The 15,881-nt window shown below is 47.4% G+C and overlaps 1 protein-coding gene across 11 annotated transcripts in view, besides 3 other annotated features; it reads right to left on the reverse strand.

Annotated features, from left to right (window-relative positions):
- COL23A1 (collagen type XXIII alpha 1 chain) overlaps positions 1 to 15,881 on the reverse strand; it is a 352,776-nt gene that overhangs the window by 318,720 nt on the left and 18,175 nt on the right. For all 11 annotated transcript variants that reach the window (XM_011534691.3, XM_011534690.3, XM_011534688.3 and 8 more), the window contains exon 2: positions 4,345 to 4,411. In XM_011534691.3, the coding sequence (XP_011532993.1) occupies positions 4,345 to 4,411 (67 nt within the window). The remainder of the gene's footprint in view (positions 1 to 4,344; positions 4,412 to 15,881) is intronic.
- Positions 5,262 to 5,790: an enhancer, noted in NCBI's record as "H3K4me1 hESC enhancer chr5:177988600-177989128 (GRCh37/hg19 assembly coordinates)". NCBI's record gives its function as "activates a minimal SCP1, AML or CMV promoter by ChIP-STARR-seq in primed H9 embryonic stem cells {active_cell/tissue: H9 hESC(primed)}" and the evidence as "EXISTENCE:reporter gene assay evidence [ECO:0000049][PMID:30033119]".
- Positions 5,791 to 6,318: an enhancer, noted in NCBI's record as "H3K4me1 hESC enhancer chr5:177989129-177989656 (GRCh37/hg19 assembly coordinates)". NCBI's record gives its function as "activates a minimal SCP1, AML or CMV promoter by ChIP-STARR-seq in primed H9 embryonic stem cells {active_cell/tissue: H9 hESC(primed)}" and the evidence as "EXISTENCE:reporter gene assay evidence [ECO:0000049][PMID:30033119]".
- Positions 6,471 to 6,980: an enhancer, noted in NCBI's record as "H3K4me1 hESC enhancer chr5:177989809-177990318 (GRCh37/hg19 assembly coordinates)". NCBI's record gives its function as "activates a minimal SCP1, AML or CMV promoter by ChIP-STARR-seq in primed H9 embryonic stem cells {active_cell/tissue: H9 hESC(primed)}" and the evidence as "EXISTENCE:reporter gene assay evidence [ECO:0000049][PMID:30033119]".

Raw genomic sequence — 15,881 nt, forward strand, 5'->3', positions numbered from 1 at the left:
ATGGGCCAGGCATGGTGGCTCACGCCTATAATCCCAGTACTTTGGGAGGCCGAGGCGGGTGTATCACCTGAGGTCAGGAGTTCGAGACCAGCCTGGCCAACATGGTGAAACCCCGTCTCTAATAAAAATACAAAAATTAGCTGGGCGTGGTGGCAGGCATCTGTAGTCCCAGCTACTTGGGAGGCTGAGGCAGGAGAATTGCTTGAACCTGGGAGGTGGAGGTTGCAGTGAGCCAAGATCGCACCACTGCACTCCAGCCTGGGCAACAAGAACGAAACTCTGTCAAATTAAAATAAAATAAAATAAAATAAAATAAAATAAAATAAAATAAAAAAGCTGAGTGTGGTAGCTCATGCCTGTAGTCCAACACTTTGGGAGGCTGAGGCAGGTGGATCACTTGAGGTCAGGAGTTGGAGACCAGCCTGGCCAACATGATGAAACCCCGTCTCTACTAAAAAAACAAAAATTAGCCAGGCATGGTGATGGGAGCCTGTAATCTCAGCTACTCGGGAGGCTGAGGCAGGAGAATCGCTTGAATACGGGAGGCAGAGGCTGCAGTGAGCTGAGATCGCGCCATTGCACTCCAGCCTGGGCAACAAGAGTGAAACGCTATCTCAAAAATAAATAAATTAAAAAAATGAAAAGTAAAGTAAAATAAAATAAGACACAGGTCTGCCGTGGCAAAAAATTACCACAAGCCCTCCCAGTTCTAGGGGCAAGAAGTCCAAGGTGTCTGCGGGGCGGGCTCCTCAGGGAGAGTCCCTCCCACACCCCTCCATAGCTCTGGTGGCTGCAGGCATTTTGGTGTTTCTTGGCTGGCACACGCAGCACGCCAATCCCCACTCCGCTGTCACCTAGCCCTCTGGTCTGTGCGTCTCTGCCTCAAATCTCTCCTTGCCTCATTTAAGGACAATTGGCATTGGATGTAGACACACCCTAAATGCTGAATGACCTATTCTGAGATCCCTAATTACACCCGCAAAGACCCTATTTTCAAAGGTCACATTCACAGGTACTGGGGGTTAGGACTTGGACATATCTTTTGAGGGCGACAGGATTCAACCCACTACACTATTTTATTGAGGATGGGTGCAAGGCTCACCAGAGCCAGCTCAGGGCCCCCCGCCAGTCCTCCTGCCAGCGATATCCACTGGCTGGGGCGAGAGAGAAGCCCCTGCCACCACACTCAGCCTCGCAATGGGTGGCACATCCAGAAGAGCCGCCCCTCCTCTGGCCTTCCTTATCTGCCTGCTGCATGCTAGGATCCAACAAAAGATTCCGCTGACTCCCCGGGCTGCTAGGTGGGGAGCTGCGGCCAGCTATAATCAGACAGGGAGCCCCACTGCAGAATGTGGTCTATGTCTCCACACTCCAAAAGCCCGAGGGACACGCTGGAGAGCCTTGGAGCCTTGGAGCCGGGAAGAATAGGAATGAGTTAGGACTTCTGGTGTTGGAGACAGGGCCTCTGTTCTTTGTAAGACAAGGGGCTCATGGGCCGGCCTGCTGGGGTTTAGTGTTGATGAAGGTTCTGGTCTAAGGGGCTCTCGAGGTGACAGGAGAGAAAGTGCAGGCATGGACAGGGGTGTGCTGAGGGGTCTGGCTAGGGTCGTCATGCTGCACCCCAAGGCCACACTGACCACACCTACCAGGATGGCCTCCATCACAGCCTGGAGTTCCTGGGACAGCATCAGCACGGTGCTGATGATCAGGGCTCCCCAGGGAGCCGGGGAGTCTACCAAGCCTTCCTCTCGGTGGGACTAGAGGCTCTGACCAGCCCTTCAGTCCCCCATGGTCTTCCCAAGACCTTCTTGGGGGCCTCTTTCTAGAGGAGTTCAGGACCCCTGTTCCCTGCTCCCCACTCCTGATGGAAGGCAGGACACAGGTCCATCTGTAGTCACTGGCTTTAACTTATACCTTCTCCATAACCTCAGAAAGCCCCCCAGAGCCCGCTTCAAGATGTTATCATTTACTGATAAAGACCCTCAGTGCTAGTAAGGGGCAGACCCAAGATGTGGCTCCAGTTCTGATTGATCCGGGAGCTCCATGCCAGCTTGTGTCCCCCTTCTCCCACTCTCCAGCCATCATCTGTCTTGGGGACTTTCAAGCCTTCTGTTAGTAACCCACAGCAAGAAACCCATCTCACACCATCCAAGTCCAATCTACAAATATTAATAGCCAAAACCAAAATTTCACTCGGGCCTTTTTTATTCCAGACTTCTGTGCCAGCTCACAATTTCATGCTGGTGGTTGCTGGCGGCAACCCACTAAACGGATTTGGTGTCTCACAAATGGGGCGTGACTCCCAGTTCAAAAGACACACACAGGTATGCACCCAGTAACACTCAGAAAGAGGGGAGCGAAAAAGAAGGACTGTTGGCATTTTACACATTTTGCAGATCATCTAAAAATCCATTTGTGGATGTGAATTTTTCCTCCCATGTAATTGCAATTTCTGACTTTTTTTTTTTTTTGATGGAGTCTCGCTCTGTCACCCAGGCTGGAGTGCAATGGTGCAATCTCGGCTCACTGCAACCTCCACCTCCCAGGATGAAGCAATTCTCCCACCTCAGCCTCCCAAGTAGCTGTGACTACAGGCATGCGCCACCATGCCTGGCTAATTTTTTATATTTTTTGTAGAGACAGGGTTTCACCACGTTGGCCAGACTGCTCTCGAACTCCTGACCTCAGGTGATCCACCTGCCTCGGCCTCCCAAAGTGCTGGGATTACAGGCGTGGGCCACCGCGCCCGGCCACAGTTTCTGACTTCTTGATCTGTGAATGGAGTCATTCCCTTGTCAAATCCTCTTTCTCGTATTAAAATCTCAGAGGTCCTATAAAGGCTAGCTCAAGCTCAACCATAAAATTCTTCTCCCACCTGGCCCTCAGAGACGGAATTTTCACACCATGAGATATACCTTTGCAGAAATCTCGGGGCATCTCCCAACCCTGGGATGTTTTCAGTGAGTTTGGTTTCCGGACACTTGGCTAATGGAAGGAATGAGAGAGAAGACAAGGGACACTGCGCAGCTCCTGTCTTCTCTGGACCAATAACAAAAGTCACCTTTCCCTGCATGTCGAGAAGTCTGAGACACATCACTCAAAAGCCACCTTTCCCTGCACGTCGAGAAGTCTGAGACACATCACCCAAAAGCCACCTTTCCCTGCACATCGAGAAGTCTGAGACACATCACCCAAAAGAGACCTTTCCCTGCACGTCGAGAAGTCTGAGACACATCACCCAAAAGTCACCTTTCCCTGCAGGTCGAGAAGTCTGAGACACATCACCCAAAAGTCACCTTTCCCTGCACGTCGAGAAGTCTGAGACACATCATCCAAAAGTCACCTTTCCCTGCACGTCGAGAAGTCTGAGACACATCACCCAAAAGCCACCTTTCCCTGCATGTCGAGAAGTCTGAGACACATCACCCAAAAGAGACCTTTCCCTGCACATCGAGAAGTCTGAGACACATCACCCAAAAGTCACCTTTCCCTGCACGTCGAGAAGTCTGAGACACATCACCCAAAAGTCACCTTTCCCTGCACGTCGAGAAGTCTGAGACACATCACCCAAAAGTCACCTTTCCCTGCACGTCGGGAAGTCTGAGACACATCACCATTTTCCACTCATCCACTGGTATCAGACACCATTCTAAGGGAGGGTCATTCTAACCCTGAAAACACCAGTGTTAGAGACCACACACTGGGCCATGGCCTGTGCAAAGCTCCCCTGAGGACACCCAGGAGACCTGTTATGAGCCTGGATTTGAGCCATGTGGATTAGAAGTCAACAATTCCTGGTTTCATTCACAGCCATCCTGGTCTGCACCAGCAAAACCAAAGAGAGTCTATGATAATTTGAATAATTCAGACCTCATTGCCTGTTTCCTTCCTCTGCCTCCACCGCAAGAAATGAAAACAAGAAGGCTACGTCCACTATTTATCTACCTTCTGCACGTCTGACATAGAGCTCTGGTTGCAATGTTGGTACAGTGGTGGCAACTGGGGTTCCAGGCTGTCACCTCCCATCAGTTCACACCCCTTTCTCCATCTTTGAAATGGGCCAGCTGCTACTTCCCTACCATCTAAATCTTCAGGCAGCTAAGTCATCTCCGACAATGTCTTAGCTCCTCCACCAATACCACCCAGCAAACCGAGTCCGTTTACTTTGCTGGAAACCGACCAGAGAGCCTGCCAGGGTCAATGTGGGAAAGAAAGGCCCCAGGCCAGTGCACGAAGACGACAGCCTGACACCCCAGTCCACCTTCCGGACCATGCTGTTCTCAGCAATCCCAAGCAAACGGCGGCCGAACGCAGGAGCCAGAAGGGAGCTCAACCTTCACTTACCTGGGGGGCAGACACATTCGGATGGAGCTTCCCGAGCAGTCCGGATCTTCGCTAGTCCGTCCAACTTCTGAGCCGGAAAAAAAAAAAGAAAAAAAACGAGGAGAGAATGAGTTTCAGAACAGAGAGGGGTAAAAGTGGAAACATCAGCAAAAACAAATGTATCTAAACCATCTACAGTGCTGGGGCTGTCTGTGAGACCATCTCTCAAAAGATCCTTAAACTCTACAGGGAATTTTAGAATGAGGAAAAACAAACACAAACACTAAACAGTTACTGGTGAGTCCCTGAAAAGGTGGCAGGTTTCTGCTTTGTTACAGCATTTTCAAATAGAATACCAAGAGTTACGACAGAAACAGCGTCCTGCAAGTCAAAAGCCACAGCGACCACCAGCCCTGCAGGGAGGGAGGCTGGGGCTGAGGGAGGCCTGGAGAGGGCAGATCAAAGTTAATGCTCCAGGCGGCTTTCTGCACTCACAAGGCCACCCCGTCCACACCCGGGAAGTCCCAAAACCCCATGGCTGCAGCCCCTCCTAGCCCACCAGCCTGGGACCTGATGGCCCGGGTTGAATCACCCTGATGAAAACATTTTCCTTTGTTGTTTTCTGTTTTCCATTTTCCTTTCCTCTTACCAGTGGGGATCCTTGGCCTAGAAAATTTGGTTCGGTAAAATTTAACAAGAATCCCTACACATGCCCAGCCCTGTGCCAGATTTGGGTGAGAGGAAAAGAATTACCACAGAACGAGGGTCAAAAGGCACAGCTCCCCTACAATGCAGGGACTGCTCTGGCAGGCTCCTGGCCCGATGGAACCCTATGGGCACCCCTGAGGCCAGAACAAACGGTCCCTGCCCCACAGATGAGGAACGCAAGCTTGGAAAAAAAGAAATTTGTCCCACATCCCAAATCTAGGTTGAGCGGAATGAAGCAATTGGCCCAAATCCCAAAACTAGCCAGAACTTGAGTCCCAATGAAGACACACAGTTTTAACCTTTCTCTAGGGGAAAAAAAAATCCCCCTAAAAGCAAAACAAAGAGCACAAATCTGTGCTGACCTAAGTGAACAGTGCAGCGCCACCATGAGAACCGAGGGCTTCCTGTTCAAACATTAAACAGTATTTTTAGGCACTGCTTTAGAGGAGGAGAGAATTTGCACAGACGACAAGACCTCAGCCAGGCCCTGTCTGCCTCTGACTGGAACAGCCCAGGACCGGGAGACTTCACCAGGGCACCTCCAGCCACCGGAAAGGCGCTTCACAGTTCCACTCCACCTGCCATTTCAGCCTCATTTTACAGACGGGCAACAAGAGGCGCAGAGAGCGAAGCAGATCCTAAAACAGAAGAAGTTACCACGGTCAAAGTGTGTCTGGAGTTGGTTCCTGCCGGTGGGTTCGTGGTCTCGCTGACTTCAAAAAGGAAGCCACAGCGTGGTGGCAGGCGCCTATAATCCCAGCTGCTTGGGAGACTGAGGCTGGAGAACTGCTTTAACGCGAGAGGCGGAGGTTGCAGTGAGCCGAGATCGCGACACCGCACTCCAGCCTGGATGCCAGAGCGAGACTCCATCTCAAAAAAAGAAAAAAAAAAAAAAAAAGAATGGAGCCGCGGGCCGGGCACAGTGGCTCGCTCACTCATACTTTGGGACGCCGAGGCCGGCGGATCACGAGGTCAGGAGATCGAGACCATCCTGGCTAACATGGTGAAACCTCGCCTCCACTAAAAATACAAAAAATTAGCCGGGCGTGGTGGCGGGCGCCTGTAGTCCCAGCTTACCCCAGAGGCTGAGGCAGGAGAATGGCGTGAAACCAGCAGGCGGAGCTTGCAGTGAGCCGAGATTGCGCCACTGCACTCCAGCCTGGGCGACAGAGAGACTCCGTCTCAAATAAAAAAAGAAAAAAAAAAAAAAAAAGAATGGAGCCGCCTACCTTCCTGGTGAGTGTTACAGCTCTTAAAGATGACACTGACACAAAGAGTGAGCAGCAAGGAGATTTATTGTGAAGAGCAAAAGAACAAAGCTCCCACAAGGTGAGGGACCCACGCAGGTTGCTGCCGCTGGCTGGTGGTGGGGGGGGTGCGGGCTTTTATTCCGTTATTTGTCCCCGCCCATGTCCTGCTGATTGGTCCACTTTACAGAGTGCTGATTGGTCCACTTTACAGAATGCTGATTGGTCCATTTTACAAACCTCTAGCTAGCTACAGAGCGCTGTTTGGTGCATTTTTACAGAGCACTGATTGGTGCATTTTACAAACCTCTAGCTAGCTACAGAGCACTGATTGGTGCATTTTTACAGAGCACTGATTGGTGCATTTTACAAACCTCTTGTAAGAAAAGTTCTCCAAGTCCCCACTGCACCCAGGAAGTCCAGCTGGCTTCACCTCTCAAAAGCAATACCAGGGCAGCCAGAGGGTACTCCAGGGGGTGCCTTTAGGCGCACTCACTCCTCCATCATCACTGCACTCCCCAGCCCTGACTCTGCAAGTCCTTGACTTGCCCTGTAAATCGGAACCTGGCTAGGCCTCTGGATGCCAGGCTTCCAGCTTCCTGCAGGGACTGGACCTGCCACTCCCTGCTGCTTTGGATGGAGCTGCCCAGCTGTCCCACAGGACCCTTGTGAGCAGCCTGGGCCAGCCCCCAGCTTCCAAAGGCCCCCCGCAGCCTGTGAGTGAGAGCTGCTCCACCCAGGCGCAGCAGACACCACCCCTACTAATCCCCACTCCCAGCAGGGCTGCCTGGAGTGGAGTCCATGAGGGGCTGAGGCTTCTGCGCAGAATGGAGCACACTGGCCACACCTGTCCCAGTTGAATGGGGGGCCCACGCAAAAGCTGCACCCTTGAGCCGGACCTCAGAACTCACTTTTTTTTTTTTTTTTTTTTTTTGAGACAGGGTCTCACTCTGTCATCCAGGCTGGAATGCAGTGGCACCATCTCCGCTCACTGCAGCCTCAACCTCTCAGGCTCAAGCAATCCTCCCACTTCAGCCTCCTGAGTAGCTGAGTATACACGAAGGTACCACCACACCCAGCTAATTTTTAAATTTTTTGTAGAGACGGGGTTTCACTATGTTGCCCAGGCTGGTCCCAAATTCCTGGGCTCAAGCAATCCTCCTGCCTTGGCCTCTCAAAGTGTGGGATTACAGACGTTGAGTCACCGCGCCCAGCCAGAACTCACGCTTTTCCCCATTGTATTCGCAGATATTAAGGCAGATTTCAAAACGTACTTGGAGAAGAAACCCAACATTTTAGTTTAAGCCAGTCAACCTGTGTAAGAAACTCTCATCTGTTTTTATCAGTGCTAGACAGGACAGAAAGGACTTCCACACTGATTTCATTTTTTAAACAAAAGCATTTCATGCCAAAAACAATTCACTTTTAACAACTGCTGTCACACTTGGGCTACTGCTATCACATCTGAACCTCTCCCTGAAGGGGGAGAAGGATTTTATCAACACTGATAGGAAACACAGTTACTTTTGAGCTACTCTCACCTTAATATAAAAAGCTAGGTACTGTTAATGCTAGCGGCGGGATCACAGGTTACTGGGATTGTGCTGGTCATTTATCCTAACTCCTTTTGTGCTTTTGTTTCTCTCAATTAGATGGTGAATCTGTAAAGTTTTCTCTCCCGGACCCCACCTCTCCCCCACCTCCAGGCCCCTCACTTTCTGTATCCTGACTACTAAGAATACAAAGTGAAATGTTTGAATTAGAAACCCAATCTCACAATCTTTACTTCATGCTCTTTTTTTTTTTAATCCTAAGAAAATATTCCTTTGTGTCCAGGTTTGTAAAAATGACTTAAAAGCCTCAGCATTTTACATTCAATTATCTGGCAGCACCCCCAGCATCTGCAAACAATATGGTCCTGGTTTTACATATGCAAACAAGTCCTGACTCTAAAAGTAAATAAAGGATGAGTTTCTGAGAAAAAGACCAGAGACTTTGGGCAAGTTCCCTTCTAGAAGTACTGGGAAGGAGAACTTGAAGTCTGGGGGAAGGGCGGCAAGAGCTCAGGGAATCAGGGAAATCCTGGTTTTTAGAAAAGCATTCATGACATGGTCAGAGGATACGTTTATTAACGATCTGTCGGGGCACTAGTCTTGAACACTTCACCAGATGTTTGATCACATCCTTAAGTGGTTTTGTTCTGAGGAAATACAGATTGACATAGAAAAGAAAGATGCAATGATTTATTCCTGTAAAACGCTGTAAATAATTAAGACATTTCTATCCTTTGACTAAAAATTCCTACTCTGGAGAATATATCCTAAGGGAATAAATCAGCAGAAGCAAAACATGATATTTATGCAGAAGTTGCACCGTAAAACAGTGGGAATGGTTTAGTGAAAGATGTGGAATCTCCTTGACGCAACTGTCACATCAGGAAATAGGATTATGAAGACTGTGTAGCAACAAGGAAAAATGCTTATGCTACAATAAATAAAATGTCTACATTGACGTAGAAACACAGGCATGGGGGAACAGCAACTAACAAAACAACCCACATGGGTGTTGGAATGATGGTGATTTTCTTCTTTCTGGGCTGTTGTGATATCATCTTCTCAGTGAAAAACAAAAAAGTCTGGAAGTAGAAGAGACAATGTAAACCCTTGAAATCCCCCCGCTGAGGGCAATTTCGGAGCGACAGACTCTGTCTCCTCAGGGAGGCCCAGCTCCAGGGTCCATCCTGTGAGTACAGGCACACCACAAACACCAGAGGAAGGGCTTGTCGAGAACCAAATGCTGACCACAGGCACAGCTTCTCTGCTCCCCTTCTACCTGCTTACGAAGAGACAGTTCAAGCCTTCTCACCACCACCAGCAACCCGAGGAGACTCCTTTTCCTGACCCCTTTAAACGTTCTCTTTTGATACCCCACCACGATGATGATGATAACAAATACAACTGAAGTATTATTATCAAGACTGGATTACATATTATGGGCCAGACACTGCGCCAATTGCTATTATCTTATCTATTCCTCCTGATAACCCCCACGCGGCTGGGATTCTTATTACACCCATTTACAGATGGGAAAATTGAGACAGAAAGAGAAGTGTCAGGGCTGGACTTAAATCCTGGTAGCAACTGACATGGATCATAGATGACAACCTCTGCTCTCAAGTAATGTTCCTATCTACAAACATTCTTTAAAGCTATCAGGGCCGGGCGCGGTGGCTCACACCTGTAATCCCAGCACTTTGGGAGGCCGAGGCAGGCAGATCACCTGAGGTCAGGAGTTCGTGACTAGCCTGGCCAAAATGGTGAAACCCCATCTCTACTAAAAAAAATACAAAAAAAAAAAAAAAAATTAGCCGGGCGTAGTGGCACACATCTGTAGTCCCAGATACTCAAGAGGCTGAGGCAGGAGAATCACTTGAACCCGGAAGGCAGAGGTTGCAGTGAGTGAGAGCATGTCATTGCACTCCAGCCTGGGCAACAAGAGCAAGACTCCATCCCAAAAAATAAATTAAAAATAACAATAAAGTTGCTATCAGAAGCCAAGCCATACATAACTCAGATAGAAACCAGTACAGTGTCTGCAAAAGGGTGGGAGAGTGACAGGAATTAACTACAAGGGCAGCATGGAGGAGATTAAGGGTGACAGAACTGTTCTGTGTGGTCCTGGGATGATGGACCCATGATTATGCATTTGTCAAAAACCACAGCACTGTCCATCCCAAAGAGTGACCTGTAATGAATACCAATTACAAACCAAAAGTCAGGATGCTGGAGAAACCCAGGCTAGAATAACAAATCTAACTATACTAAAGTTGTATGGCATAACCTCACTGAAGGTTGGGGAAAAGTGTAGCTCACCTAAGTAACGTTGCAAAATGGTGTTTTCATTGAAAACTCTAAGGCTGGCCAGGTGTGGTGGCTCGCGCCTGTAATCCCAGCACTTTGGGAGGCAGAGGCGGGAGGATCACCTGAGGTCAGGAGTTCGAGACCAGCCTGGCCAACATGATGAAATCCCCTCTCTACTAAAAATATAAAAATTAGCCTGATATGGTGGCGTGCACCTGCAATCCCAGCTACTTGGGAGGCTGAGGCAGGAGAATCACTTGAACCCGGGAGGCGAAGGTTGCAGTGAGCCAAGATCGTGCCACTGCACTCCAGCCTGGGCGACAGAGTGAGACTCTGTCTCAAAAAAAAAAGAAAGAAAGAAAAGAAAACTCTAAGGCTGAAGACAAAAGGAATCTGATGTAAACACTGTACTCTAGCTAGGCGGTAAAGATGTTTCTCACAGGGATTCAGGTTAGCAATTTTGAAACTACTTTATATACACATTAGGGTTGAACAGATAAGTAAACAAATTATGAGTAATGAGAGCCAGGTTTCTCACTGTCCAAGAAAGAAGTTACAAATAAGCAAAGGAGGAAAGCTACAGTGAACCCTGTGGTGCTGAATCAGTATCGAAGACATAACCATGAGGTCATGTTCATGTTCTGTACACAGATAGATACATACAGAAATCATCACAGATATGTGCATATAGAGGAGTCAATATACATGTTTCTACACCTCCCTCTGTCTGCAGAGAAGTTCTACAAACAGTCATACCCTAGTAGTAACAAGCACACACAGTACCCAGATCTTGGTCTCTAATATCATTCTCCAATAAAAGGAACCAGGGCTTCTTGGAGAGATGAGAAATGAGAAATTCTAGGGCCAAGGCAGAAAAAACACAAGATGAGCCTGGAGTCTTACAGTGCCCGAAAGTAAGGAAGTGCTTTACAAAGGGGTTGGGGTCAGGGGCACTCGTCAAAGAAACATAAGAACCAACCTGAAAGGCTGGGTGTGGTGGTTCACGCCTGTAATCCCAGCAATTTGGGACACCAGGACGGGCAGATTACTTGAGGTCAGGAGTTCAACACCAGCCTGGCTAACATGGTGAAACCCTGTCTCTATTAAAAATACAAAAATTAGCCAGGCATGTTGGATCAGGCCTGTAATCCCAGCTACTTGAGAAGCTGAGGCACAAACTGGGAGACGGAGGTTGCAGTGAGCAGAGATTGTGCCACTGCACTCCAGCCTGAAAACCAACCTGAAAGAGCTTAGAATGGCCAAAGCTGGAACAATTTAAGCAACAAAATAAATAATGTTGTGTGGTCTTATAACGCAAAGAATAAATTAAATATCCTTGAGTCTACAGTGATATAAATGATTGAATAAATAAATGGAGAGAAGAGATAAAACTTCCTTACAGAATTCCAAATAATATATGTAAATACTTCCCTCTTCCCGGAGGTGAAGCTAACTTCCCCTCCCCTTGATATGGGCTAGACTTAAACAATAACTTTATAATGGAGAAATCTGGCAGATTTCCCTTCCCTCAACCAAGTGATCAAGGTTCATGTCACAGGAATACCTCATGCTGGCCCCATGGGCCCCCGATGGGATGCCATGAACATGGCAATCCACCTCAGTGGTATTCTTTCCAAATGCTCCTCATGAGAAGTATTAGACTATCCCAAATTGTGAGACATTCTATAAAATACCTGCTTAATATGTCTCAAAACTGTCAAGGCCATGCAAAGCAAGGGAAGACTGAGAAATGGTCATAGATTGGAAGAGACTAAGAAGACAGCACAATCAAATGCAACGTGTGTCCTAGATGGACCGTGGAATAGGAAAAGGACATTAGAGAGAAGAAATGGGTGAAATCTAAGGTGTAATTTAGTTTTAAAAAAAAAAAGCATAATCACAAAGTCACTTACCACCAAATAAGATATAGCCTTGTTATTTTTTAGAATGGATTTATTTTTTTAACTGAGGTGAAATTCACATAATCATTAACATAAAATTAACCATTTTAAAGTGAACAATTCAGTGGCATTAAGTACATTCATAATGTTATACAATCACCCCCTCTATTTTCAAAACACTGTCATCACCCCAAAAGGAACTCCTGTATCCTTTCCTCCCTAACCCCAGCTCCTGCAACCACCAGTCTGCTTTGTTTCTGTGGGATTTATCTATTCTGTATATTTCACATAAGCAGAATCAACACCACTTGTGATTTCCTTGCCCTTTGTCTGGTTCCTTTCACTCAGCATGATGTGTTTGAGACTCATGCACATTGGCGTGGATCATTCATTCCTTTTTATGACTGAATAATATTGCATGGTGTCTACACTACCATTTGCTCATCCATTCACTGATGAACATCTGGGCACTTTCCACCTTTTGGCTGTTGTGTACGGCGCTGCTGTGAACATGAGTCTACTTTTATTTGAGTATCTGTTTTCAATTCTTTGGGGTATAAACCTGGGAGTGGAATTGCTGGGTCATATGGTAATTTCACATTTAATTTTTTGAGGATCCCACCAAACTCTTTTCCACAGTGGCTGAGTCATTTTACACTGCCACCAGCAACGTATGACAGTTCCAATTTCTCCACATTTTTGCCAAAAGATCCTGGTGGATGTGAAATGGTATATCATTGTGGGTTTGATTTACATTTCCCTAATGACAAATGATGTCGAGATACTTTTCGTGTGTTTGTTGCTCATCTGTATATCCTGTTTGAAGAAATGTCTGTGCAAGTCCTTTGCCCATGTTAAAATTGGGTTGTGTGTAGTTTTGTTGTTGAACTGTAGGAGCTCTTTATAGAATCTGTATACTAGACCCTAATCAGATATAGGATTTGTGAATATTTTCTCACGTAAATTCTTGATCAGGATTCTAACCACCTCCAACCAAGACGCAATATGAGCGTGTTAACATCATCTTGAACGTTGGTGGAAGTTTTCCAATGGTTTCGTGCTGGTCTTCACATTAGTCCTTACTGAGATCTTGCTACATTAAAAGTGGGATATTGTTACTAATATATTTGATCTGATCCTCTTTAGTTAACAGTAATTGTATTCGTTTTCTATTGCTGTATAACAAATGCCACAAAGTTAGCAGTTTAAATACACACTGACTATATCACAGTTTGTGTGGTCAGAGGCTGGGCATAACTGCAGTTGGTCTCTGCTCAGGTTCTCGAGGCTGAAATCAATGAGTCAGCTGGGGGTTTCTTCCTGGAGCTCTGAGTCTTCTCTCAAGTTCATGTGGTTCCTCCTGGTTTAGCAGGAAGGCCTCATTCTCTTGCTGGCTGTTGGCTGGGTACTCTCAGTTCCCAGAGGCAGCTCACAGTTCCCTGCCACACAGCCCCTCCACACCCCTTCATGCTGCACATCCCTGACTTCAGGAGGGTCCTCATCCCTTCCAAGGGCTCACTTGGTTAAGTCAGGGCCACTGAATAATCTCCTTTTTCACTAACTCAAAGTCAAGTGATTCCTTCGTAACTCAATCATAGGAAGATAGCCCATCATACCCTCTCCATACTGGAGAGGAGGGAATTGTATAAAGCATGTTCCCTAGGGAGCGGGAATGTTGGAGACCATCTTAGAACTCTGCCTGTCAGAGTATCACAGTTCATTTCTTTTTCTTTTTCTTTTTTTTTTTTTCCTTTGAAACAGGGTCTTGCTCTGTCACCCAGGCTGGAGTGTAGTGGTACCATCATGGCTCACTACAGCCTCGACCTCCTGGGCTCAAGTCATCCTCCCACCTCAGCCTCCCAAGTAGTTGGGACTACAGGTGCCGCCAAGTCAGGCTAATTTTTCTATCTTTTGTAGAGACTGGGTTTCATCATGTTGCCCAAAATGATCTCAAACTCCTGAGCTCAAGTGATCTGTGCCTGCCTCGGCCTCCCGAAGTGCTGGGATTATAGGTGTGAGCCACTGTGCCTGGCCTAATTTCTTACTTTTGACCAATGTACTGTGGTTATGTACATATGTACACTATGTACATATGTTTTTCTACATTAGTACATTAGTTTTTCTACAAACCTAAAATCATCCCCACATTTTAAAAAGACCAGATCATGAATTTACACTTATAGGCAACATAGAGTGACAATGACTAGATTTGCCATTCTGCCTAAACAACATCAACAACAAAAGCCACAAATGTATTCCTGCATATAAAACAATAATTTTGAAGATGCTAGGGACAGGCAGGCAAGGACAGTGATCTTTGAGACAGGCAACAACTGCTCTAGCTTCCCACCTGGGGAGTGGCCAGGCTGAGCACATGGAGGGGGGACGCGGGTGGTGCCTGGCAGCCTCCCGAATTGAAGACATGGAGCTGAGAGCCAAGGGAGGCCGAGGCAGTCAGAGTGTGCGGAACAGAGGACTGGAGAGATGAAAGCCACCAAGATCTGCTGAGGATCCCCTTCGAGTAGGAGGCAGAGGGCCTAATCAGCCCCTGCAGGCAAGGAAATGACTGAGGTCAGGGAACGAACCACCGAAAAGGATTCTAGGGCACCGCAGACAGCATTCACACTGGGGCCGGGAGAATGCCCGATCCCACCAGCCAGGCCAGTAAACCTCATAATCCACCATGAGAAAGTACTGAGGAGAGGCATGGCACTGTGGTTCACACCTGTAATCCCAGCACTTTGGGAGGCCGAGGCAGGAGGATCACCTGAGATCAGGAGTTCGAGACCAGCCTGGCCAACATGATGACACCCAGTGTCTACTAAAAATACAAAAATTAGCCGGGCATAGTGGCAGGTGCCTGTAATCCCAGCTACTTGGGAGGCTGAGGCAGGAGAATCGCTTGAACCCGGGAGACAGAGGTTGCAGTGAGCCAAGATCGCACCACTGCACTCCAGCCTGGGTGACAGAGTGATCAAAGTGAGACTCAGTCTCAATAAATAAATAAATAAAAAATAAAATACTTAGGGGAGCACCAGGAAGGGCCCTGCCTTGCTAGTAGGGAAGAATTAACCCTAGGGCCTAGGTGAAACACTGCTCTAGTCCCACCTAATGGATCCCAACAAGACCCTAAAGGACCAAACTATTTCCAGCCCAGGAATATATATACAAATGCAAAAATATTCAGCATCTCATGAGGTAAAAGTCATCATGTCTGGCAGAAGAATAAGAAGTTACCAGCAGGAAAATAGGCCCTATGATGAACAAAAAAATTAATTAATTGAAACTGGCCCACAACTGCCACAGAGGTTGGAATTAGCACACAAAGACATTAAAGCAATTATTATAACCGTACTGCCTATGTGCAGAAAGCTCAGCAGAGACAACAAAGTATTGAAAAGACCTAAACTGGGCTGGCCACAGTGGCTCACGCCTGTAATCCCAACACTTTGGGAGGCCGAGGCGGGCGGATCACAAGGTCAGGAGATTGAGACCATCCTGGCTAACACGGTGAAACCCCGTCTCTACTAAAAATACAAAAACTAGCTGGGTGTGGTGGCGGGCGCCTGTAGTCCCAGCTACTCGGGAGGCTGAGGCAGGAGAATGGCGTGAACCTGAGAGGCGGAGCTTGCAATGAGCCGAGATTGCGCCACTGCACTCCAGCCTGGGTGACAGAGCGAGACTCTTTCTCAAAACAAAAAAAAAAAAGACCTAAACTGAAATTCCAGAGATGAAAACTACCAGGTCTGAGATGAAAAATATGATGGAAGGGATTAATGGCAGATGAGACATTGCCAAAGAAAAGATTATAAACTAGAAGACAGCAATGGAAACTACCTAAA

The sequence above is a fragment of the Homo sapiens genome, chromosome 5 (assembly GCF_000001405.40).
Source record: "Homo sapiens chromosome 5, GRCh38.p14 Primary Assembly".
Lineage (NCBI taxonomy): Eukaryota > Metazoa > Chordata > Mammalia > Primates > Hominidae > Homo > Homo sapiens.